At 35.8% G+C, this 18,630-nt stretch overlaps 1 protein-coding gene and 1 long non-coding RNA gene across 43 annotated transcripts in view, besides 2 other annotated features; one reads left to right on the forward strand and one right to left on the reverse strand.

Moving 5' to 3' along the window:
• Window positions 1-18,630, reverse strand: part of SOX5 (SRY-box transcription factor 5) — a 1,033,147-nt gene that overhangs the window by 102,806 nt on the left and 911,711 nt on the right. For all 42 annotated transcript variants that reach the window (XM_024449159.2, XM_024449158.2, XM_047429458.1 and 39 more), the window contains one exon: window positions 8,503-8,588. In XM_024449159.2, the coding sequence (XP_024304927.1) occupies window positions 8,503-8,588 (86 nt within the window). The remainder of the gene's footprint in view (window positions 1-8,502; window positions 8,589-18,630) is intronic.
• Window positions 13-5,627, forward strand: LOC105369697 (uncharacterized). Its single transcript, XR_001749445.3, has 3 exons — window positions 13-83; window positions 2,445-2,494; window positions 5,545-5,627. It is a non-coding gene; the product is annotated as an uncharacterized LOC105369697 (long non-coding RNA).
• Window positions 7,926-8,220: a silencer, noted in NCBI's record as "tiled region #8728; HepG2 Repressive non-DNase unmatched - State 15:Elon". NCBI's record gives its function as "represses a minimal TATA promoter and a strong SV40 promoter by Sharpr-MPRA in HepG2 cells {active_cell/tissue: HepG2}" and the evidence as "EXISTENCE:reporter gene assay evidence [ECO:0000049][PMID:27701403]".
• Window positions 8,389-8,964: an enhancer, noted in NCBI's record as "OCT4-NANOG hESC enhancer chr12:23793632-23794207 (GRCh37/hg19 assembly coordinates)". NCBI's record gives its function as "activates a minimal SCP1, AML or CMV promoter by ChIP-STARR-seq in primed H9 embryonic stem cells {active_cell/tissue: H9 hESC(primed)}" and the evidence as "EXISTENCE:reporter gene assay evidence [ECO:0000049][PMID:30033119]".

Here is an 18,630-nt window from a genome sequence, read left to right on the forward strand (position 1 = left end):
TGAAATGAAGAGCAGTTGATCATTATTCACCCTGTATGAAAATGATACGACCTAAAAGTTTAACTGAGTAGTACAGTATTTTGGTAGGTAAAGATGAACACTTAACAAGTATACATCCTTGTAAGTAATTCCTTCAATAACAAGATAAAAATCCTCACATCTAGATTTTTCTATATGGTTATTACTTCCTTATTGATTTTCTGGAAGTTTCTCTTGGCCAAGCATATAAAGCCATGCTCAGTCACTCACAGTGCTGGGAAATATGGAGCATTCTTTTATCTGTGTCCTGTCATAATTATTGACCTTCTTCAGAGACTGGCAGGAGTTTGATAAAAAGATGAGCTTCAGTATTTCATCTACCTCTACCTTGATGTTACTCTCCATCAGACAGGAGCTTAAGCCATTTCCAATATTACTTCGTATACCTATGATTGCTATGAAAAAAGATTGATTTCAGTTGATATTTTGTATGATTCATTCTCTAACATGATCACACATCATCTATCATTTTCTCTATTCCAGAGAATGCATGCTACTAATATTACTAGTTACTGAAGCTGTAAGCCCATGAGGTTTCATTTATGACAACTTGGAATTTTGAGCCTTTATTCCAAAAATATTATTATGAATTTTTAAAATAGTCCTACTAAAATAATTTTAAAAGTTTAATTAAGTCAATAAAAATGATGATTGGATGCTACTTGCTTATTTTGAATTAAATAAGATCATCCAAAAAGAATTTCAATCTTTTTTTCCTTCTGCTTATCACTATCAATCATTGGTTGGAGTCAACATTTTTGGCTTCCTATAGGTAGAACAGGTGGCAACCATCTTTTGGCCAAGACAAATACAGTATTTATAAAGTGAGAAGTAAGTGGATAAATATTTCCTTCCAATTTCAAATCTTAGAAGTGTAGCAAAAAACAGAAACAGTACATTACAGAAGAATTATTACTATTAAAAATATTCATGATGCCCATTAAGTAAAATGCAAATTATAACGAAAATGAATATGAGAAATAAATGCTAGATGGATTGTTGCCATCATTTGATCTTATTAATTAGAAACAGATTATTCACATAGCTGATTTTATCTTGTCACAAATGTCCAAAAATTCAAAGTGTAACTTCGTTTTGTGTAAATAGTGATATTCATTTTTAATATTAAAATGAACATAGATAAGTAAGCTATATAAATGAACCCCTCGCCTTTAAAAAGAGTCAGCATCAGTATAATAAATAAGTAAATATCTAAATCATCATTGGCTCTTGGAGGTAAAAAAGAGTACTTGAGGATGAAGAAGAATGAAAAAAAGAAGGAAGGAGAGGAAGAGAGAAGGTAAACTCAGTGTATGGAGCTGCTAATTGGCTAGTAATTATTTTGATAAACACATCCTTCCATTATTTAGAAATAATTTACTTCAGTATTGTATTGGCAGAATAAGCCATGAGTCAAATAAAAGTACCTCCAGTAGTTCATATTTTTATATATGTCTATACACACACTATCACATAATATAGGAATTCTCAAGTATTGTAACATTTGGTCTTTTATTGTGAATTATAATGATTTTAAAAGAATTACATAAACTGTAATAAGTGCTAAAACACATTCTTTATGCAGCAACCCACTGTTATGGTAAGATAAAGGGAAGAAAGAGCAGGAGAGACAGAGAGCTGTGGATTTTTCATACTCTTAGAATCTTCCAATGGGGGCAAGAAAAAACATCAAGTTCCCTGGCCATTAAATTAATATCATTTAACGCAGAAATCAATATATGCTGCTTTTTTTAATTAAAAATTCTTATGACCATTAGCCATGATAGTCTCTTTCATTTGCAAGTATGCACTGAATACCTGCTATTTGCTAGGCATTCTTCTGGATACCTGAGATACATTATTGAACAACAGCAACAATTCTTGTCCTTGTGGGGCGGTACATTTGGAAAAGAAAGACAATAAATAAGAAACATAATACATTTTATAGTATATTTGAAGATGACTAGTGCTATAGAGAAAAATGTAGAATAAAAGAGCTAGGAAGTGTGCTATCTCTTAGGATCCACCTTACGATTTTAAGTAGGTTGGTTAAGGTAGGCCTCAGAGAGATGGTATTAGAGTAAATACATGAATGAAGTGAAAGAATTAGCCTTCCATGCAGAGGAAAGAGCTAGAGAGAACAGCTAGCACAAAACTCTAGGAAGGGAGTATGCCTTGGTAAGATAAGGGCCAGAAAACAGCCTAATGTATCCGGAATAGACTGAGTAGGTGATGTGGAGCAAAACAGTTACAAAATTAATGTCTGTAAACATTGTAGTGCCAAACATGCTACCAGGCACAGAGAGTGTTTTCATATGTTTATTTCATTAAATGAGAATAGTTTATTATAAAATTTCAACATTATCTTAATTAACCAAATTCAAACTGTTTTTTTCTTCTATCAGCCAACCATGCCTTTGATATTTGAAATTCTGCTATTGTCTCGTTTTAAAAGGTGATTAATTAATATAGAAAACTAATTATTAGTATTCAGCTTAATTTCAATATTATAAAGCAAGATAGCTATTTGAGCAAAATAGATGAATAATTTATTGAAAATACATTGTTAAGATTCATTCCTCATTCTTTATTTAACACATATTTATTGAGTCCATAAAATATTTCAAGCACTTGGTTAAGTGCAAATGATGGTAAACCATTGATGCTACAGACTTTACCATCTGGTAGATGCTAGAAAGTATGATTTAAAACATTCTACCAGCAATGTGAGAAGGGAAATACAGCATGCTCTCAGAACACGCGGGAACTACTTTAAGCCAGACTTAAGACCAATGAAGTCTTCCCTGAAAAAAGTGATGTTTTAACCTGAAACCTGAGGGGTAAGTGGGATTCGATTAGTAAAGATGGTGAGTAATGGGGTTATTTCCTGGGGTTATTCCAGGAAGAGAAAACACCACTTGTAAAGATCCAGGGTGGAGAAAGAACTTCAAAACACCAGAGAGTCATTGAAGGTCCTTGAGCAGGAAGAGGACATGACAAAATTTTCTAAAATCAGAAAGGGACATGGATGAAGCTAGAAACCATCATTCTGAGCAAACTATTGCAAGGACAGAAAACCAAACACCACATGTTCTCACTCACAGGTGGGAACTGAACAATGAGAACACATGGACACAGGAAGGGGAACATCACACACCACACCGGGGCCTGTCGTGGGGTGGGAGGAGGGGGGAGGGAGAGCATTAGGAGATATACCTAATGTAAATGACAAGTTAATGGGTGCAGCACACCAACATGGCACATGTATACATATGTAACAAATCTGCACGTTGTGCACATGTACCCTAGAACTTAAAGTATAATAATAATTTAAAAAAATAAAAAAAGGAAGATTATTCTGACTAATGCATAGTGGAGAGTGCATTGAAAGGGGCAAGATCAAGATAGAAAGACCAGTTTAGGGGCTGCTGTGGTGAATTAGGAAAGTCATAAGGATAGCTCGACCCAAATGAGTGACAATTATGATGGAAGGAAGTGGATAGATTCTTGGTGTATTAGTAGGTGGAATGAAAAGCTAGTGAATGAATAAATTTATGGGGAAGAGGGAGGAAGAGAAGCTAAGAAGAGCTCTCATGTTTCTGGGTTGAGAAATAGATGAAATGGAGTCATTCACTAAGACCAAAGAATAAGGAAGTCTAGGGACAAGGCATACAACTACTGATGAGTTCCATTTTGGACTCAGTTTACAGTGTCTGTGAATTTCTGTATATTTCCTCTTCATAGTCAACAAGCAGTTGGCTAATGTGAATTGAAGCTCAAGGGAGATTTAAAATGTGTAAAGAAAAAGACAGATTTAATATTAAAATAATAAATGGTGTCTATGGCACATGCTAATTTGTATTATTTATATACATGAACTAGATTAAGCTGATTTTCTCCATTAAATAACAAATATATATGATGATTTTTAGAATATTTTAACTGCTTCTGAAAGTACACAGTAAGGTGATTTTTCTACATGAACAATTTTTTATTATATAAGGATCTCCAGGGACATAAAATAATAGTTAATAAACAGTAGTTTGCTTTAAAGCATATCATTTTGCTTGTCTTTTAAAATAATTGTACTTGTCTGCACTCTTTAATAAAAATTCTGGATTTACTTATCATAATATTATCCAAGTTTGAACAATTATATGCAAAAGGTTATTTCAAATGAAAACACATATGGTAGGTAAACAAAGTCAACCATAAGTAGGAATAGATTTATAATGTCCTTTATTTAATCTAGGTGTTCAAAAAGAAGTACCTGAATTAACATATATCCATGTAAAGAGGCATGAAATAGAAAATTCAGAGTCCGAAGTAGACAGCTGTCATTATGAATCCTGCTACTTCTTTCATTATTGCAAAGCACACAGAGTATTTGTATTAATGTCAATTAGTCAGCATTATTGTTATAATTTCATTAGCTGGTTATGAGTTACCAAATGTCTGAAGAAGGGCAATGCCTCCAAAGTTTAACATAAAGTCTCCTGTACTTGAAGAAGCAAATATAATTGTTCAAAGGCCATGGATTTTGGACTCTGTGACCCCGCTTTCTTCTTTGTCAAATGGAGATATTAATACATAACACAAAACGTAATATGAATTAAATAAGATAATCCTCGGAAAATCTTTACCAGAGAAACTAGCTTAAGAAAATATTCCATAACCATGGGTGATATTAACTAGTGACATCAGTTGTTACGGCACTTTACATGAGTTAAAATCATTATGTTTGCACCCAAGGAAAAGAAAACAGGATCCTTTTGTGTTTAAAATATATATCCCCTCCACATTATTCTCATTACCATTGAATAAAGATTAATTCAGAAAACCACTAGTTCTTTGGCAAGGCTATTTCAGCTGTTCCTCCAACTGGTCTTCCTACTGTTACCTCAACCCATCTTACTGCTGCCTTATCGAGTATAGCTGTGAGTTTATCACTACCTACTTAAAACATACACGAACAGATTAAACAAAAACAGAAAACGAGTGAGAACAAGCCAACAACAACAAACTCTTCAATGGTTCTAAAGAAAGACATCAGCAATTGGTACTAGACAGCACCCATACCACCAACCATACTCCCCTCATTAAAACCTTGCTGACCTGGCCCTACTTCAGTCAATGTTCATTACTGTCTCACACCTCTCTCTCATTCCTCCCACCCTATCTTTCCATTCCCACAATATATATGAGCTGATGTCTGGTGAGGGAGCTGAGGAGAGAGAAGATTGGGTTAACAGCTTTACAGGGTGGCTTGGTTCTTAGTGGTCTTCCCTGCTTACCCAAAAAGCAGAATAAAGCAAAAACTGGAGAAGGCAGAATAAAGCAAAAACTTGAATGTTGTTCCTCAACTGGCTTTTTGTTGAGCTAAAAACCGAAAGACTCCTCCATCCTTAGTGTGGTGAGAAAGGTCTTAGGAGAACTGGACAGTGTACAGCTTGGTGGTGTATTATGTAACTAAAGACACAGTAATGCCTGTTTTCTCTTCTGAAGTTTTCTAAAGCCGGAGGTGGGTTGCTGGAAAACAATGCGGTGTTTGCTGCAGGCTGAGAGGAGGACTGCGATGTACTACCACCACAGCTCTAACAGGGCACAGAAGAGGACCTCAGTAGAAGACTACAGGTTTCTCCATGGAGCAGCACAGAGGGTGAACAAAGGCAGGTGTCATGTTACCCAGGTAGCTCCTGGCCAATAGTGGTGACACCCCAAATAAAAAAAAAAAGAGTAGGAAGCATAGATCAACAGACCTGGCCACCCCTCTCTTAACAGACCAAGAAAAGCTGTTCAATACACAAGAAAATAACACACACACTGTTTCCACGGTATCTCACGGCAGACATAACTTCCTAAGCCCACCCACATCTGCACAGGAACAAAATTGGAGCTGAAGAAGCAAAAGAGTAAGCTGCACCCTTCTTATTTCTGGTCTCTAGAGCTGGGATTCTTGACTAACGATGGAAGGGGAAGCAGTGAGATATGAAATGGATATGAGATTAAAGTTTCCAGCAGGACTGAATTTTAATAACTGAAAGGACTGGAAAGTGATGCAGTCTACTCAAGATATTAAGATATGGAAAATAGAGATTTAACAGAGCATAATTAAAAGCAGAGTTTGGAGAAAATTAAAACTAGTCCATATATTATACTCCACTGAGATGAAACATCTCAAAAATAGGTTTCAAAGATTGGGGTGAATTTTAGGTAAGGCTTATAATAAAACATCTGACTAGGCATTGTAGTTAGCTTTTCTCTCACCCATCTCAGCAGGTTTGTGGAGAAAAAAGAATTTTGATGCTATTTTAAGGCAAAGGGAGGGAGAGTAACAGATATCCTGTGTAGCTCTGGGGAAGGCTGAAGTCAAGGTCAAGGGGTCTGTGAATATTGTGTTAGGAACAAGTAGAAAAGTGAGTTGGTGTAAGCACCCTAGCAAAAGTGAGAGTCAGTCCACTTCAAAGAAAAGCCAGGTTCTCTGATACGACATGCTTTGGGCATGTGTTTGTTCTGAATAACGGTTATTTTCTCACTGCAAAAAAAAAAAAAACAACTTTTTTATATGTTTATGTAAATGTGTTTTAATAGTAGCTGATGGCTTTCCATGAAAAAATTTTGGATTATTAATTTTCTTGTTATACTACAGGATTATTTGAGGCTCTAAAACTCATGCATTTTAATGGGTACAATACCACTTCTATGAAAGGAACTTTATCCCATTTACATCTCAAATCATAGTTAAAGTAAGAACATATATGTTTGGTGTCTAAAGTTTCTCTTGTTCAGTGACAAAATTGTTTATATTTTAATATCTTAATGTCTCAAGATATTTAATATCTTGAGATAATCTCATATATTATAAAAATAAAAATCTCATATAGTATAAAAATAAAAATTAGCATCAAATATTCTCCCACTGTCTCTACAGGAAAAGTTGATTAGATTGTTGCTTAACATAGCTACTTTCGAAGAGAGTCGTGCAATGAACATAGGAGTTGCCTCTAACTTGCTCTCACTTCCTCTCATCGCTAATCCAATGGTCAAAGGAGAATGTCTAACTTGCTTTGAAAACCAACATCTGAAATCTCTAAAACCCCTATTCCTATATTTAAATCTATTGCTGGATATTATTCCCTCTTGCTAATTCCACTACTCTTTTTAGCTTTACCTATTACAATCACTTTTTCATGTTATAGTTATTCCCCAGATCTCATTTCAAAGGGTAACAAATGTTATGTTACTTTTATTGTCCCCACAGCTCCAACACTTCCCAAGACATTTCCAGCTCAAAGAAAACAGATACTCACAGTGTAGCTGTTCACAGAAAAGGAAGAATAGAAATGAATGTTATTAACCTCTGTAGAACACAGTATGTCTCAGCTTTCACACTGGTAGTTCCTCCTGGGAAACTCAGCTGGCCTTTCAGAAACCCACCAGGTCTTCTGACAAACCCATGTGCAGGCCAGATGTTATCTGTCTCTTGATGCTACAATATAAAACTATATTTTCCTTATAGACTAAGATCACCTATCATGACAATACCTTTTCACGAAGAAAAATTAATTATTAAGTATAACTGCTTTATCTCTGGCTTCATAGGCATACTGTGTCTTTCAGGCTAACAGTATTCATAGGCATACTGTGTCTTTCAGGTTAACTTCTCACAAGAGGAGAGTAATCCTATTATTAGATAATTTTCTATTCCCGTTAATTGCATAATCACAGGTCCATACCGATAGAAACTAAGGAATGTTTTGTGGGATGCTGATTCAAAAATGTCAACAGTTAATCAAAGCTACCTGTTACTATAATTGTATTGATTTTCTTTTCAACCTCAGAGACAAAGCTTCTCAAATCACTTGGACATCTGGTAAAGTTATCGTTGACATTCTCGGATTATAGGAATATATATTTCGCACGGCTAGAAAAGTCTTAATTGGGATGACTGGGATAAAGTTGTGCTTATTTAGTCTTCAGCTTATTTGGTCTACTTTTCCTTGCTTGCCCAACTCAGCTGGTATTAGCAAGAGAACAAAGAGACCTACAGACCATTTCAATGATACTGGGCATCCTGAGCAATTTGAAATGCATTTTTGTTAAGTCGCCTTGCTCCTCAAGTGTCTGAATATCTTTTGCAGGGTTTTTTGTTCTTTTTACCTTGATAAGGACCATACTGTGACAAAATTATGGCACGCAGTAATCAAAGCAAAACTACAGCTCACTTTCTTAATAATACCGGCAAGAAAAGAAATACGATAAGCTATGTTTAGTGCAGAAAACAGGGCTAAAAATTAAGAGAATCAACATTTCAACTTGTGGTTGAGGATCATTACAAATAAATTTAAAAACAGAAAGTGTGAGACGAATATCACGAGTCAGTTTTATTTTGCTTTAACACCATAATAGCTGTTTTCGATATTTACTTAACCTTTGTCTCCTCTGTATTGTTTCCTGACTTACCTGCAGTTGGAGTGGGCCTAAGCCTGGTGTTGCTGCGGCAGCAGCTGCCATGGTAGTTGGGATCAGCTGAACAGGGTAAGGGTCACCTAAGTAAGAGAATAATAGAGGCGTCAGCACCTTTTATCTACTCTCCACCTGCAAATTAAACTCATGCATTCACTCTTTCCAAAAGCCTTCTTTTGTGTGCCTTGCTGAGGCCTAATGAAAAGCTCTATTGTGCAGCCTTTTACTAACACTCTTTTCACAATTCTGGCTGAGAGAGGAATGTGAATAAAAGGCACAAGCAATTAAGGCGGAAACCTCATCCTTTTTTCATGATGTATTTAGGAAAATGGGAGGGAAAGTGAGCATTGATCAGAGGGCTGCACTTGATAACACACACGCGCGTGCACACACACACACACAATTTTAATATGAGCACAGTAACTCCTCAGCAAATTTACAGTATTATTATAAAAGGAACTTAACTTACTTTTATTTTAATGAATTAAACTCCAAAGATTTAAACAAAGTAGCTTATCTTTGAAATGCTATGTTACGGTCTTGATTCAAATAATCTTAATCTCTTAAATAATATGGACAAATTAACAACGAAGAAAACATTTTATGTGTTTTTCAAGTTATATGAAATATTGACATCTTTATTATCCAGGGATAAATGTTTACAAAACTATATTGTAATGAAAATGGAAAATAGATCCCTTCCCCCCGACATTTTTTATCTATTAAAAAAGCACACTAATTCAAAATTAATCCTGAAGTTTTACTGTTATATGACCTGTAAAAATATAGGCACACACAAAAACATACAGAGAAGCACATAGAGAAGGTTATTCTGCTTATTTTTTATGAAAATCAAGGGGGTTCTTAATTAGTAAAGAGGTACAATAGACCTGTTGCATAGGGCCCAATAAATTGCTAAGAAATATAAGTAATGTACATTATTTGTCATCTGACACATGACCATAGCAAATAACTAAAAATAATAGAACAATTTTGTAATGCATAAAACATTTTGTAGAAATCTAATTTATAAAAAATGTGTTGAATATTGCACGCATGAAAAATATAACTTAAAATAACTCAGTTAATACGCCATTCAAAAACATTTATTGAGTACCTGCTATGTATTAAGCATTCCTCTTGGCCCTAGACATAAAGCTTTGGAAAAGATTAATATGCAGATGTGAATTTACTGGGAATTTAATGAAGCTTAAACTTTGGGCTTTTGAAACTGGCCTCTTGCAGTATGTTCACTGCGTATTTTTATATTTGTCATATATTTTTATATTTATCAGTTGTTGTAATTTGTTGTGATTTGTTATAAATGAATATTCACTTTTCTACCTAAGTGTGTGTGTTTGTGTGCGTGTCTGAGCATATAAAATTTTTGCATTTTTATTCTAAAGAGAGTCTCCCAGGTTATTTTTTAGGCTTCAAAATACCTGGATCTACCTCTCTGGATCTGGCCTTCCAAAAGCTTACAGTTTAATGGGAGAAAAAGATAATTAAATGATTAGTATAATATATAATGGCAGTTAAGACAGCGAAGTACATAATGCTATGGACTGCACTGTGGTTGTCCCAAACCTAGTCTAATATGTTAAAGACAGCCTCCAGGAAAAGGTGATGTTTAAGCTGAAACTTGAATTAAATTATAGTTAGCTAGACAAAGAAGGGAAGAAAGATTGTTCCAGGCAGGGAAACAATTTTCATGAAGAATCAAATGGAAGTGTTAGTTATAGCCCAGTCCCTGTATTGCTGAAGTACAGAGAGCATGTAGGGAAGTGAGATCAATGGGATTGGGGAGGGAGTAAGATGCCAGATTATGTGTGATTTCTGTAAACATTAAATGATCTAAACTTTATCCTATACGGTAAAGGAAATCATGAACGTGGAAAACAGATGGGTTGAGTAAAATCACTTGGGTGGGAGGTTGAGAGCTGTAATCAACTAGTGAGCAGATGCAGAAATCTGTATAAAAGGTAATTATGGGCCGGGCGCGGTGGCTCACGCCTGTAATCCCAGCACTTTGGGAGGCCGAGGCGGGCGGATCACGAGGTCAGGAGATCGAGACCATCCCGGCTAAAACGGTGAAACCCCGTCTCTACTAAAAATACAAAAAATTAGCCGGGCGTAGTGGCGGGCGCCTGTAGTCCCAGCTACTTGGGAGGCTGAGGCAGGAGAATGGCATGAACCCGGGAGGCGGAGCTTGCAGTGAGCCGAGATCCCGCCACTGCACTCCAGCCTGGGCGACAGAGCGAGACTCCGTCTCAAAAAAAAAAAAAAAAAAAAAAGGTAATTATGGTCAGACTAGGATGGTGACATGGGGATGGAGAGTGAGGCAGGGACTCCAGAGATATTTAAATGGTATAACTGGTAAAACCTAATGACTGTTACGTATGAGAGTAACAGAAGACTCAAGGATGACTTCCAGGTTTTTCACTAAAACAACTGATTGACATGTGGTAGTATGTACTGGGTTTGTAAACACAGATTAGAAGCAAGACTGCCAGGTGGGGCCTAAAGGGTGTTGTTGCGGGGAAGGAACAAAGAGTTCTGTTTTAGATATTTTAAGTTTGAAATTATGATTAGATATCCAGGTTGAGGTATTTATTAGACACTTGATAAACATGTTAAAATTTTAGGGGAAAAGCCCTCATAGGAGACATATACTTGAGAGTGGTTAGCATGTATCTGGAATTTAAGCTGTAAGCCTTGATAAGACCACTTAGGAGTTAACCATAGATTAAAAAGAGGTCCAAAAATTTGGACTGTGGGATGTACTAACATTTATACTCAGGCAGATAGGTAACTAGCAGAAGAGACTGAGAAGAAATGTAAATTTGGTGTTCCAGAAGCCAAGTAAAGAAAGACTTCCAGACAGTGATAATTTTTTTCATTTAAGTGCTGGATTTAATGATGTGGAGGTCACTGGCAACTGCAACAATGGCGGTTTCAGTGGAGTGGAGGTTGAGAAGGCCTAATCAGAAAGAGTGTGATCAACAAAGGATGATCGAAAGAAAGGAATTGGAGGCAGGAAGTGTAGACCCTCGCTTTTCAATGCAAGATTCAGATGAGGAGCATTAGCATCACCTGGAGTTTCTTGGAAATGCACATTTTTAGAACCCACCCTAAAGCTACTGTGCAGACAGCCCCTAAGATAGAACCTCCAATGACTCCCACTCCCTGGTATTTATGTCCCATGTAATCACCTCCCTTTCAGTGTGTCCTGGGTCTGGTAATTGCCTTCTAATGCACAGAATATGGCTAAAGTAATGCTATTTTACATTTGAGATTAAGTTACAAAAGTATTTTGGCTGCCTTGGTTGCCCACACCCTCTGTTGGAGCAAGCCGCTAGGTTGTGAGCTGCTCTGTGGAAAGACTCATATAGCAAAAGACAGATGTTTTTGGCCAATAGCAAGCAAAGAAATGAGGCATGCCAACAGTTAATGAAGGGAGCTTGGAACAGATTCTACCCAGGCCAAGCCTAGAGATGACTGCAATCCAGGCCAATACCTGGACTACAGTGGGAAAGATCCGGAGCCAGAGGTACCCAGCATGGCTGTGTCCAAATAAATGTTTGTTGTCTTAAGGCACAACAGTTTTAGGCTAATTTATTGAAGTAGGAAACATGTGGCATCTGAATCAGAATTTAAATTTTAACAAGAGCCCCAGATTATTTGTATGTGTATTAGAGTTTGAGAAGTGCTAGAACAGACAACTACACTGAGGTGTTTTACAGTAGCTAGTGAAAGTTGTGTGATCAAGCAAACTTTATAAGAAGGTACATATGTAGAAAAATTATACCATGCTCGTATGCTAATGAGAAAGATTCAGTAAATAGAGCAAAAACCTATGATACAGGAGAGAGAAGGGACAACCAATATTACATAATGGTGCTTTATCATTTCATATTTTTAGTATTTAATCTTCCAAACACTATCCAATTTTATAATAGGACATTTAGATATTTAAAAGCTAAATTCATGCAAACTAGTTAAAATTGTAAATACTATTATAGTATGACTATTAGAATTGACAATTTAAATGCTTAAAACTACTTAATTCATTTGTATTCTTAACTTAGGATACATAATCTTAAAATTAACAAAAGCAAAATTGTAGAGGCTGTGGTACTCTTCACAGTGAAAATTCATTTTTTATTATTTATTTTCCCTATTGTAAATTAACCAATTCATAAGCACTATAACATTTATCATGAACAGAATTCTGCTAGCTGCTCTGTGAGACAAAACAAAACTTGGTCTGTATTTACTGCATTTCTATCTTTTCTAATTAAGTGCTTATTTGAATAATGTTGACCATCATCAGTAGGTAGTATAGGAGGTAAGGGAGAACTAATCCAGGCTTCAATCTTAAGGGAATAGTTACAGATGAAAATAAGAGTGAGCTTGGTCTTGAAAATGTGCAGATGGAGGGGAGGAGAGACCTTTCGGATAGGGTGAAATGCATCAAAGCAGGAGTATGACATGCTAAAGGAATGTAGAGAAGAAACAGTTTAAATAACAGGTGATAGAATAAAGTAGAGGGAAAAGAGATTGAAGACAAGGAGTTGGGAAACTTTTAATACTCCAATCTTGAGATCTGGATATGAAAAGGCAATGGACAAGAAATGAAGTTTTAAGAAGCCTCATTAAAGAGCTTAAGTAGTAGGAAGTATTAAAGATCACCTGGTTCTCCATCCTAGAGACAAAGACGTATTCCTAAATTTGTTTAACTCCTAAATTTAGCAAAACACCTGCAGATGTTTGGGACACTTTTGCATTACTTGCATCTAATTATTAATATCAAATTTCATGTAAATTTAAAGCTCATTACTTATAATACAGATTATTCCATAAAATTTAAAAATATGCATATGTTATAATCTTTTTATTTCCTAAATTAATGAATGTGTATTAATGAAATTAACTATCTTTCCTTTGGATATGCATATATATGTAAATAGCTGATATGTTTTACTAATGCCATATTGTATGTGTATAAATGTATATATACACAGGAATACCTTGGAGATATTGTAAGTTTGAATCCAACTACCACAATAAAGCAAGTAGCACAATAAAGCAAGTTATGCACACTTTTTTGTTTCACAGTACATATAAGTCGTGTTTAGACAAAACTATAGTCTATTAAGTGTGCAATAGAATTATGTCTAAAACATATACATACCTTAATAAAAAAATACTTTATTGCTAAAAAATGCTATCATCTGAGCCTTCAGTGAGTTGTAATCTTTTTGCTGCTTAAAGGTCTTGCCTTGATGTTGATGGCTGCTGACTGATCAGGATGGTGGCTGTTGAAGGTTAGGGTAGCTAACCTTCCTTTTCTTTTCTCTTATTTACTTATTTATTTTGAGACAGGGTCTGGCTATGTCGCCCAGGGTGGAGTGCAGTGGCGCAAACATTACTCACTGCATCCTTGACCTCCTGGTCTCAGGCAATCCTCTCACCTCAGTCTCTTGGGTAGCTGGGACCACATGCCCACACCACTCCAACCAGCTAATTTTTTGTAAAGGCAAGGTTTTTTAATATTGACCAGGCTGGACTTGAACTCCTGGGCTCAAGCAATCCACCTGCCTTGGCCTCCCAAAGTGCTGGGATTATGGGCATGAGCCACCGCGCCTGGTGGGAATTTCTTCAAATAAGACAACAATGAAGTTTGCAGCATTGATTGACTCTTCCTTTCACAAAAGATCTCTCTGTAGCATGTGATGCTAATTGATAGCAGTTATCTACAGCAGAACTTCTTTCAGCTTTGAAGTTCCATCAAACCCTGCCACTGCTTCATCAACTAAGTTTATTTAATGTTCTCAATCCTTTGTTGTCATTTCAATAATGCTCACATAATCTTCATCAGAAGTAGAATTAATTTCAAGAAACCATTTTCTTTGCTCATTCATAAGAAGAAACTCCTCATCCATTCAAGTTTTATCATGAGATGGCAGCAATTTAGTCACATCTTCAAGCTCCATTTCTAATTCTAGTTCTACTGCTATTTCCACCACATCTGCAATTATTTCCTCTACTGATGTCTTGAACCCCTCAAAGTCATCCAAGGGGGGTAAAATCAAATTCTTTCAAAATCCTGTTAATGTTGGTATTTTGACCTCCTCCCTCCCATCAATCATTAATGTTCTTAATAGCATTTATAATTGTAAATCTTTTCTAGAAGGTTTTCAATAATTACTTTCTTTCCAGATCCATCAGAGGAATCACTGTGGCAGTGACAGGTTATGAAATGTATTTCTAAAATAATAGGGCTTGAAAGTCAAAATTACTCCTTGACTCGTTGGCTGTAGAACAAATGTTGTGTTAGCAGGCATGAAAACAACATCCATCTCCTTGTACACCACCATCAGAGTTCTTGGGTGACTGGGTGCAACTGTCAATGAGCAGTAATGTTTTGAAAGAAATCTTTTTTCTGAGCTGTGGGTCTCACTAGTGGGCTTAAAATATTCAGTAAATCACGCTGTCAATAGATGTGCTGTCATCCAGGCTTTTGCTGTTCCATTTATAGAGCACAGGCAAGGTAGATTTAGCTTAATTCTTAAAAAAACTAAGATTTTCAAAATAGTAAATGAGCTTTGGCTTCAACTTAATTCACCAGCTGCAGTAGCTCCTAAGAGTCAGCTTGTCCTTTGAAGCCAGACATTGACTTGACTTGTCCTCTCTAGCTATGAAAGTTCTGGATGGCATCTTCTTCCAGTAAAAGGCTGTTTTATCTACACTGAAAATCTGTTGGTTAGTGTAGCCACTTTTGCATCAATGACCTTAGACAAATCTTCTAGATAACTTGCTGCAGCTTCTACATCAGCACTTGCTGTTTCATCTTGCACTTTTATGTAGGTAGATGGCTTCCTGAACCAACCTCCCCAACACCAAACTTTTCTTCTGCAGCTTTCTCATCTCTCTCAGCCTTCGTAGAATTGAAGAGAGTTATAGGTCCTTCCTCTGGATTAGGCTTTGGCTTAAGGGAATGTTGTGGCTGGTTTGATCTTCTATTTCAACTACTCAAACTTCCTGCAACTCAACAATAAGGCTGTTTCACTTTCTTATTATTTGTGTGTTCACTGGCATAGCACTTTTAATTTCCTTCCAGAACTTTTCCTTTGCATTCGCAACTTGTCTGTCTCGTGCAAGAGGCCTAGCTTTTAGCCTGCCCCATCTTTTGACACACCTTCTTCATCAAGCTCAATCATTTCTAGCTCACATTTTTTAAGTTTCCCATCTTATGTGGGTGCAGTTTATGGCATCCCAAAACAATTATAACTATAATACCAAAGATCATTGATCACAGATCACCATAACATATAATAATAATCAAGTTTGAAATATTGAAAAAATTATCAAAATATGACAAAGAGACATGAAGTGAGCACATGCTGTTGGAAAAATGGTGCTGACAGACTTGCTCTATGCAGAATTGCTATAAACCTTCAATTTGTAAAAAATGCAATCTGCGTGAAACACACTAAAGCAAAACACAGTAAAATGAGGTATTCCTTTATGTGAAAGTTTATATAAGCTAAATACTTTTTATATGTGTCATGGATTGAATTATGTCTGTCTACAAATTGATATGTTCAAGTTGTTACTACTAATACTCCAGAATGTGACTATATTTAAAAATAGAGCCTTTAAAGAGCTAATTTAAGATAAAATTAAGTCATATGCATGGTGACTTAACCAAATATGTCTGGTGTTCTTATAAGCAGAACAGATTAGGACACAAACAAAATAGAGTCTGTCTGGTATGACCAGGTGTGAACACAGAGAGAAGGTGGTCATCTACAGGCTGCAAAGAGTGGTATCAGAAGAAACAACCTGCTGACACTCTGATCTCAGCTATACAGCATACAGAGCTGTGAAAAAATAAGTTTCTGTTGTGCAAGCCACTCAGTCTATGCTATTTTGTTATAGCAGCCATAACAAACTCATGCAATATGTTTGCCATATACAGCCATATGTCAATATATTTGGTGTCTAAGTGAATTGGGGAAAAGAAAAGACTGGCAGCAGGAATTTAAAAGACTACTACAGTTATTATATATCTTTAATCATATATAGTTTCAAATATACAAATATATCCAATATGTCGACTAATTAATTTCAAAAGGATTGTGTCTAATAGCGCTACGCTATTTCAATGATATTCACCCAACACATAAACACAATTAACTTAAAGCATGTCTCTACCTTGTTACCATTTTTTCAAGCCAAGATTACTTTGGTTGAAGTATGCTCCTGGTTACAACAAAGTGAATACAAATAAAATACCTGTGAAAATTTCCAATGCAGCCATTTAACTCTCAATTTAAAAAATTCAAAATATATTACATGGATGTGTCAGTGTTCTACAGTGGACACAGAATCTACAAAGCTTCACAAACAAGGTCAGGGGTCATTTTTAATGGCAAAGGAAAAATACAGAAGCTGCTGTAAGAAAAAAAAAAGAGTTTTTATTGAAGTAAATACTGTCATCTATTTGCGCCATTCCTCAATTAACTGTACTAAAAAACATTACAACAGATTTATTTTGTAAATACCTCATGAGATTCATACTTAGTAAAAAAATCAGATAATGGAAAACTTTGACTTTTAAAGTTCAACCATGTGTAAGTTATTCAAGTTGACTTTCAACTAGTTAAAAGTAATTTCTTCTACTCTTCCCTAGGTTTTAACCATTTGAAAAATTTTTCCCTAAGCCTTTCCAACATTAATTTGCTTCTTATTTCAAGACCAAGCATGGAAATTCTAGCTCAAAACTAAAATTTTTCAAAAAGCTAAAAAGTATACTGAGGCATGTTATTCTATTGCTTTCAGAATACAACATAGCTTACAGTGTCTACTGACACAAATGATACGGCTTATATTAACTCTTTAAAAGCATTCAATTGCATCATTATTATAGTTGTGCATATTTAGATATTAATTATCTCCAGTCATACTATGAAGAATTCATCTCTATACTGTATAACACAGCCTAAGAAAAACAATTTTTCCAACAAGATTATTTAGGATGAAGGAAAATGTGAAATGCAGATGTGGTTTTAACAAGACTCAACAATACACACTCTTTCATCTACTGAACTAATGCAAAAGTTTTGGACAGTTTTATGGCATTATCTTCACTGAAATGTGGAGACTCATTCCTTTATTGGCCTTACATGTTTTTTTGTTTGTTTTTGTTTTGCCTCCTTGACAAATACCAGCTTGCCTTCTGTAGGTGCTGGGAAATATGAAAATCAACCCCTCTCTGACATACACACATACAATCCCTGTCCCAGTCTTAATCAAGTGAGGAGGATTCACCATGTAAACTAATCCAAATATACAATAAGCAAAGTAGAAGAGTGTAAAAGTTATTCTGGAAACCTGAAAGAAAGAACTCAACCTGAAAGAGACTCGATAGTCAAGGAATTGTATTTACTGAGGTGTCTCTTAAAAGATGGCCACTATCAATACCAAATTATACTTCGGGACCATTTTACCACCTCCTTCCCATGTATTATAAATGTTACAGGGTCAACAGTAAGCATGCACCTTTCAGTGCAACGAGCATTGCTCCTATTAAAAACCTTCTCAGATTGGTACTGAGTTCTCACCCTGTTCTTACCACTCTCATTTCCAGGTAGAGGAGGCCTTGTAGAATTCTAAGACAAAATGAAGTTAGTAAGGACACTGTAGATGGAACTTTGGAAGAAAACTGCTTTCTTTCATCTCATGTTGCTTTCTTTCATGTCATGGGCTGATAGAGAAATTGGTGGGTGCCTTCAAGCTTGGGGGAGCCCCCTGCCATTTATAGGGCTAATAAGAACAACTATATTTATGCCTACATCCAGGGATAGTTTCATTACCCCCAGTGTTTCTGATGCAGAAACGGAATGAATGGGGAACTATTCAGCTAAAGAAGCAAGTAGAGCTCATATCTTGAAGAGCCTTATGTTTTCCTTTGAAGACAACGTTAAGTCACTGAAAGGTTTTAAGCAGGAAAATAATATTTTTTGTTAGTATTTGTGTTCCAGATATATCAGTTTTGTGGCAAGGCATAGAACGATTGGAAGAAGGAGAGACTGCAGATAGATATGTTAAAAACTATTG

This window comes from Homo sapiens, chromosome 12 (assembly GCF_000001405.40).
Source record: "Homo sapiens chromosome 12, GRCh38.p14 Primary Assembly".
Lineage (NCBI taxonomy): Eukaryota > Metazoa > Chordata > Mammalia > Primates > Hominidae > Homo > Homo sapiens.